At 42.1% G+C, this 8720-nt stretch overlaps 1 protein-coding gene across 10 annotated transcripts in view; it reads left to right on the top strand.

Moving 5' to 3' along the window:
* The window catches only part of COL25A1 (collagen type XXV alpha 1 chain), a 493934-nt gene that overhangs the window by 279123 nt on the left and 206091 nt on the right, over positions 1-8720 (top strand). The window lies entirely within an intron of this gene.

Here is an 8720-nt window from a genome sequence, read left to right as displayed (position 1 = left end):
TCTTCAGCCTCAATGCCAACAAGCTCATAAATTTTCTCTTTATCAATGTCCAATTCTAGTGATTTCCTAAGCACTGGTATCTTGTTACTATTTAATCAACAGCAGAATCTTTGTTAAAGCCTTTGGATGTGTTCACATATGTCTTCAAAACTTTCTTCCAAATGCCGTTCATGCATTGCTGTGTGACTTCTTCCCTTGTTGTGGTGATGTTTTGGATAGAATTTAGAATGCAGCCAGATTTAGTCACTCCAACAGCCTGCACAAATGTCTGGCATATCAGTATACTTTGAACACAGCTCTTGTGCCTTGGTCCATTGGTTGAATGAAAGCATTTGTGTTCAGCAGCAGATTCACAACATTTACATCAAGATGCATGTCACTGATATGCTGTGGAAGCCCTGGAGTATTGCCTAAGATTAGAAGAATCTTGAATGGAATGTTGTTTTTGCCCACAATATTTTCTTGCTGTGGAATAAAACAGTTCAAAAACCAGTCTTCAAACAATGCTGATATCCAGGCTTTTTCGTTATGGTGATATAAACAGGAAGTGTATGGTGCTCACATTCTTGAATGCTCTTGGGTTCTCTGAGTGGTTGATTAGGAAAGGCTTTAATTTGAATCCTGCAACATTTCCACCCCAAAGCAACATTTCCACCCTAAATTAAAGCCTTTCCTGTAACACCCCAAAGCAGTGTTACACAGCCTTTGAATGCCGTAGACCCTGGCATTGGACTCGTGGTGAATGTATGTATGCTCTGGTGTATACTTTCAGAATAAGCTCATTTCATTGACTTTAAATATTTGTGCTGGTAAATACTTCTCATCCACACTTACCCTATGTGGCTCTTCCCAAAAGCTTTGTTACCTTCAATATCAGGACTTGCTGCCTCACCACAGACCTTCATATTATGAAAATTATGATGCATTTTCAAGTGTTGGAACTGGCCATGTCTTGCTATAAACATTTGTATATATGTAGGATCATTGGTGTACTCTTTGAACTTATAGAACACACTTCTTACCCTAGCCTAAGTCATCAGTAGGCTAAGCGGTATGCATCTCTGTATCTGGTTTTCCATCCACATGACAAGTAATTTTTCCATGTTATCAAGCAGCCCACCTCTTCTCTTTGTGATGATAATGGATTTAACCAATGCTGATGATTCCACTGCCTCACTGATTCACATCTTATCCTTTAAGATGGTTGATATCATGGATCGTGAAATATCGGGGGAACCCGCCCCCAATATTTCAGTGTAGGTTCTTTCTATTTTCCCTAAGTGTCAGCCAGTCTGAGAAATAAAGAGAAAGAGCACAAAGAGAGGAATTTTACAGCTGGGCCGCCAGGGGCAACATCACATATCGGCAGGTCCGTGATGCCCACCTGAGCTGTAAAACCAGCAAGTTTTTATTAGGGATTTCAAAAGGGGAGGGGGTGTACGAACAGGGAGTAGGTCACAAAGATCACATGCTTCAAGGGGCAAAAGGCAGAGTGAAGATCACATGTTTCTGAGGAAACAGGACCAGGGCAAAATCAGAAACTCCTGATAAGGGTCTATGTTCAGCAGTGCACGTATTGTCTTGATAAACAGAAAACAGGGTTCGAGAGCAGAGAACCGGTCTCACCTCAAATTTACCAGGGCTGGGGTTTCCCAATCCTAGTAAGCCTGAGGGTACTGCAGGAGACCAGGGTGTATCTCAGTCCTTATCTCAACCGCATAGGACAGACACTCCCAGAGCGGTGGTTTATAGACCTGCCCCCAGGAATGCAATTCTTTTCCTAGGGTCTTAATATTATATTCCTTGCTAGGAAAAGAATTTGGTGATATCTCTTCTACTTGCACATCCATTTATAGGCTCTCTGCAAGAAGAAAAATATGGCTCTTTTTGCCCGACCCCACAGGCAGTCAGACCTTATGGTTGTCTTCCCTTATTCCTTAAAATTACTATTATTCTGTTCATTTTCAAGGTGCACTGATTTCATATTGTTCAAACACATGTTTTACAATCAATTTGTACGGTTAATGCAGTCATCACAGGATCCTGAGGTGACGTACATCCTCAGCTTACAGAGATAACAGGATTAAGAGATTAAAGTAAGACAGGCATAAGAAATTATTAGAGTATTATTAGGGAAGTGATAAATGTCCATGAAATCTTCACAATTTATGTTCCTCTGCCGCTGCTCCAGCCAGTCCCTCTGTTTGGGGTCCCTGACTTCCCGCAACAGTGAAAGTTCTAACTCTCTTGCAATGGCCATTACTGGCTTGTGCCTTCATACTGGGCAGTTATCTTGAGTTTCATCTCAAGAGTAATTGCCTTCCTCTTCTTCTCACCAGAAACAGGAGACACAGATGAGCATTCCGCAGACATGATATGACATAAAAATACAAAACACCATATCCAAAAAATGCCAACAACACAGTACACAGTAGAGTATTGGTTGTTTACCTATGTGACTGAGTGGCTGACTGGGAGCTGCGGCATGCGGCTGCTGCCCAACATCGAGAGAGTATTGCACCATGTATCCCTAACCTGGGAAAAGAGCAAAATTCAAAAGCTTCTATGGAATGCTCTTGCACCATTGTGAAAGTCAAAAAGTTGTAAGCTGAACCATCATAAATTAAGGACCATCTGTATATACAAAGACATAAACATTATTTATAATAGTAAAAATCTGAATAAACCTCAGTGGAATATTAGGTATCCAATAAAATTTAATAATGCAAATTAATGAATGAGTCTTTATTTTTTGTGTGTTCTGTATGTGAAATTTTTATAGCAAAAATGCATGTGATAAAATTTTTTACTTATGTTCCACATATGAACATGTTAGTTATAAGAGAGAAAAAATAAATATGGTATTGTGTTAGAAAATATAATATTTTAAAATTAATGTGACAACTTGTCAACCTGTTTAAACATGAGTAGATTTTTAAGTACAATTATATATTTATGAAAAGCAAATATCATGGAAGAAATCTTCCAAGTTTTGAATCTTGTTTTTTATGTTGAACCCCCCCCCCCCCATAATAATCTCCATGCTCATTCTTGCTCTCTGTCTCTTTCAAATTTTTTAAAAAAGAAATATCCACCAGGTTTTAGATGAACCACTTATTTTCCTCTGGAGTAGAATATGGCTTTTGCTTTTCAGCATTAAAACCATTGAGAATTAATTGTTTTCCAAAAGAAAACCTTAAATTGAAAAATTCTTATCTAAGTAATATTAGTTGACTGTAGCTAAGGTGCAGAATTATTAATATCTATCCTGTAGGATAGCACAACAGGTAATATAAATTATTAATAATGTTTATCTCAGTCAAGTGTATAAGAGTTCTTGGCAAGAGCAGCTTATAGACATTGGGAGATTATGCAGTCTTTGCAAAGCCATTTTAAAATTAATACACATAATCCATAATGCTTTATGTTTTCAATTGCTTCTCTAGTATATCATTTGCATATAATTAGTTTTAAAAATTAGTTGATACTTTATCTAAATTTGAATGAAATGAAGTGTTGGAATCAGATATATAACCTATTTTAAACCTCCATGCAGTACTTACAGAGCATAATTTACGAAGTAATTTGATATAATATTTTCAAGTTAATTGGATATGGAGACCAAATCAAACTAGAAAGTAATTTTTCGTCAATATGGAACTTTCGTGCTTCTCTTTTATATTGGTAGGTGTATACATAGCCTCCTCTGGCCTTTGACTGCCTCAGTTTTATCTTTATTATCTGAATAAAATTCCATTGAGTGTGCATTATATGGTTTGGCTCTGTATCCCCACCCAAGTCTCATCTCCAGTTGTAATCCCCATAATCCCCACGTGTCAAGGGAGGGACCAGGTGAGAGGTAACTGCATTATGGGGGCAGTTTCCCTAGTGCTGTTCTCAAGATAGTGAATGAGTTGAGACCCAATGGTTTTATAAGGCGGTTTTCCCTGCTCTTGCTCACTCTCTCGGCTGCCACCATGTAAGACGTGCCTGCTTCCCCTTCTACCATGATTGTAAGTTTCCTGAGGCCTCCCCAGCTATGTGGAACTGTGAGCTGATTAAACTTTTTTTCTTTATAAATTACCCAGTCTTGGTATGTTGGGGTCTGGGACAGAACTAATAGGATACACATATAAATATATATATATATATATATATATGTGTGTGTGTGTGTGTGTGTGTGTGTATGTGTGTGTATACACACATGTATATGAGAGTTTGTTAAGTATTAACTTACATGATCACAAGGTCACACTGTCTGCAAGCTGAGGAGCAAGGAGAGCCAGTCTCAGTCTCCAAACTGAAGAACTTGGAGTCTGATATTTGAGGGCAGGAAGCATCCAGTGCAGGAGGCTAGGCCGGTCTCTCTTTTTCATGTTTTTCTGCCTGCTTTTTGTTCACTGGAAGCTAATTAGATTGTGCCCACCAGATTAAGGGTGGATCTGCCTTCCCCAGCCCACTGACTCAAATGTTATTCTCTTTTGGCAACACCCACACAGACACAGCCAGGATAAATACTTTGTATCCCTCAATCCAATCAAGTTGACACTCCCTATTAACCATCACACTTGGGTATGTCTTTATAGCAGTGTGAAAATGAACTAATACAGTAAGACTTCCTTTTCAACACTGATGCATTTATTCTGCAGTGAACAGAAGCCAAGAGAATACTTTCTGGAATATTAGATTGAGAACCTACATTTTGAAAATATACCACTGTAATGAAGAATAGTAACCATTCTACTGGTTCTTTAAAAATATTATTGTCTACCCTCTTTGGGCTAGTCAAAAGAGTCTCGCCTTTCAGCAGTTCAGCAATTGTTTCAGATGCACCTTATAGCTTGGGGTCTGAGATATTGGAGAAGAAAATGCAAACATTCACAGAGTTGAGGATGGGCAAGATCCCTACTCCCTGGTGCTGCAAGTGTAGAATACATCTGTTCCACTAACTGGCACAGACTCTAGGTCAAACTGCAACTCTTGTAAGGCTAAGGTTCCCATTGAGAGGATGGGGCCAGGCACAGTGGCTCACGCCTGTAATCCCAGCACTTTGGGAGGCTGAAGTGGGTGGATCACCTGAGGTCAGGAATTTGAGACCAGCCTGATGAACATGGTGAAACCCCATCTCTACTAAATATAAAAAATTTTCTGGGAGTGGTGGAGCGTGCCTGTAATCCCAGCTACTTGGGAGACTGAGGCAGGAGAATCACTTGAACATGGGAGGTGGAGGTTGCAGTGAGCTGAGATTGCACCATTACACTCCAGCCTGGGCAACAAGAGCAAAAATCCATCTCAAAATAAAAAAGAAAGAGGATGGGATCAGGGGCCAGGAGAGGGTTCCATGACAGGACTCCTATTGGCCCTCAAGACCTCCTGCCACCAGAACAATCCTGCAGCTGCTCAGAGTTTTTTGAGGTGGTTCTAAAGCTTTATCTGGATGCTTACTACAGGTGTTATTTTATAGGTGCTTTTCTTTTCACCTGAAAAAAAAAAATAAGCTTGACATCTCAGTGTGTGAACTTGAGAATTTTAAAGATAATGAAATTATAGTAATCATTTCAAATGATTGTTTTAGATGGCAAGGAATCCAACAATTCAAGAGAATAAAAACATCTGAATATGAGTATACTAAAATAAAAGTAGTAGTCAAGCTTGGGTTTCTTAATGATGAGTTTCTGAGTTATTGAGGCAATTTCTTTCTAATTATCTTGAAACAGAGGTAGTACCTTTTAGAGTTGCATGAACAATGTTAATATTTCCTCAAGTTTTTGTAGATGGAAGTTTTTTATTTAAAATTGGTCACAGTAAGGATGTACGTGAATCTGTTATCCTAATCAATATTTCAAAATAATATTATACTTTAAAACTACAACTTTTCTGTGCCTATCTGTGAGTGTGTTAAATGGGAAAGCAGCATTTGTCTCATCTGAAAAGGAAAGACACAGATTTACCATCCATAAAAAAAGTATCATGTAGTGAAACTAATTTCCTCAGTCAGAGATCCAAATGAGTTTGTCAATTCAGAGAATTGTGTTAGCACTTACTGGCAACCATAATTGTGACAATGTCACAGGATCCTTTGGGTGTCACTTTTCCAGCTGGAAACCTTTGTGGCCAGTGGCACCTTTGCTTGAGTTTTGTTCAGACCTGCTGGGCTCATTCTGCCCACTCAGCCTGGCAGGCTGTGCTCAGCTCATGCTACCAGCCTGGGTCCCACACATGCCAAGGGTGAGCCAGACGCCAAATGATGAGGGGTGTGTGAGTGAGCCCAGGGTCCAGCCATTGCACACAGCCAGGTACACTGACTGCTGCAGTGGGGCAGGCAGCTCCAGGTACTGTCACAGATGCCGGCTCTGTGCAAACCTGTGGCTGGATAAGATGCACTGCAAGTGGCTTCTGCTGTGGGCACCCATGTCTGGACAAGGGGAATGTGGTGGTGCCCAGAAACTTGGAGACACCAGAAATCACAGAGCCCCGAAGAGGGAGTCACAGCCCTGGCTCAGGGAGTCCCTAGGTCTGGGCTCCCTGAAGGGCCACAGCTCTTCTTTTTTTCTGGTGCTCGCAACATGGCGAATGAGGGGCAGGGGTTTAAGCTCTGTGTTACAGCTCTTTCAGTCTTGCCATTTGTTGGGTCTCAAGTTCTTGTCCCACATTCAGGAAGAATGAGGTACATGGACAACTGGAGGATGAGCAGGATGGAGAGGAGCCTTATTAAGCAACAGAACAGCTCTCAGGAGACCCAGAGTGGTAGCTCCTTTCTGCAGGCAGGTCATCCTGACAAGTGTCCAACTCTCAGCAGATAGGAGACCCAGAGCAGTAGCTCCTTTCTGCAGGCAGGTCATCCTGACGAATGTCCAGCTCTCCACAAATAGAAGACCCAGAGTGGTAGCTCCTTTCTGCAGGTGGTAGTCCCCATGTCTGTGTGAGTCTGTTTGAGTCTGGGGTTTTTATGGGCTTCAGAAGGAAGAAAGTGTGTGCTGATTGATCCATGGGCAGCCATGGGTTGGCCTGGACCTGGAACTGGCAGTCTGGTCCCCAGGCTTCAGGCCTTTCCTGGCTTGAAGGAGGGGTTTCACCAGGGACCCGCCCCTTTCCGCCTAGGAATCTGTCTGCCTCCTGCTGTCATCAACATGTCTTCCATGGCACCTTGGCTGTTCATGCCAAGAGGCACCTGCAGGCCTGCACTGCGCTGCCCTCAGCCCCACTGGCCTCCATTCTTTGCTCATTGGCACTTAAAGTCTGGAGGGGGCTGAGGCAGCGGGGGGCTGCTGTATCAGCACTACCCTGATCATGCACACACCCAGCTTGGTTGTGAGTGTCTGGGCTCGGCCACAACTTTGCTCCACCCTGGAGCAGACACTAGGAGTAGGGAGAGGCCGGAGAGTGGGAGCAGGCACTTCTAAGTCTGCAGGGGCAGGAGGGGCTTCCCAGGTTCCCTAAATGCAGGGAATGCCTGGGTCTGGAGCCATGACTGGGCAGCTGCAGCTGCCCCCAGAAGTGCGGGGCACCCACCCCACCAACTCAGTAGGGGGCAGGGATCCTGCCTCTTCCTGTCCCTGCTGGCTTCATGGAGCATACAGCCCTGGCTGCACCTCCTCTGCTGCAGCCAGCATCTTCACAGCAGCCACTCCAGATGGGCCACTGCTGCCATCAACAACAGTCCAACAAAGAATAGTTAATATTGCTCTTTAGTTGCCTAAAGTAATGTATACTCCTGTGATAGGTCATCTCATTTATCATGTTCCATTGTGGCTTACTTGCATTGCCAAACTTTCAACCTCCTGTGAATACTTTCCTGTAAAACATCAGCTACTGGCTGATTGTTTTCCATTTTGCTGTTCTGATTACCAGTTTTTAAGATCAGCTTCTCCTGCTGTTTCTTCTTCTTCCTGCTGGTACCTAAGTTGCCCTGAGCATTGCATTTAGCTGTTGACGTACAGTGAGTCAGTGACCCAGAGCACTCAGTATTCTCCACTTTCTCATGTATTTTCCTGACTTCAGTATGTTTGTGACTTAACTGTTTCACTTGGCATGGCTTTTACGTTTACTAGATTCAGGTTTTTATTTATGAAGCATTTTGGTGATTTGCTTGGGAAAAATGATCTTTTCAGGAATTCCATTTTTAAAAAGGCAACTTACGGTGTGTTTTGTGACCCTTAATCATAATTTACAACTACTCATTCAGGTTGTCCTTTAGAAAAAGTTAACCTTCACAGTTAATTATTAATAGTGGTCACTACCTTTAAATTACAATAGACTAGAACAATACTACTCAGTAACGAATGAAAATATTTGTATTAATCAAGCTACTCAGAAGCAACTTAAGGAAATGCTGAGGTGTTTCTTTTTGATTAGTCTGGGACAAAGTCTCTATCACCACACGCTCTCAGTCTCTAGGAAGTTTCTGAGACACTCTCCTGCTCTCCCTCTATTCCATGGCTCCTGCTCAGAGCAGATACCATTACCATATCACCAGAAACCTCTCCTCTGGTCATGGCCCTGGTTTGGCCAGATGGCTCTATTAGGACGACTGCAAGACTCGGCGCTGCCGGACTGTCTTTTTGCAGATATTTTAGGTGTCGATTGTTACATCCTAGTGAGTGAGAGGACGTGGTATAGGCAGTCCTGGAATCTCATAGAAGAGTGGTAAGGACTGTGTTGTGTATTCCAAGTTTTAGATAAGAGTTTCCGAATTTGTTACATTGTATGCTTTGTTTCTC

Source organism: Homo sapiens, chromosome 4 (assembly GCF_000001405.40).
Source record: "Homo sapiens chromosome 4, GRCh38.p14 Primary Assembly".
NCBI lineage: Eukaryota > Metazoa > Chordata > Mammalia > Primates > Hominidae > Homo > Homo sapiens.
The sequence above is the reverse complement of the archived record's forward strand: the minus strand, read 5'-3'. Positions and strand labels throughout refer to the sequence as shown.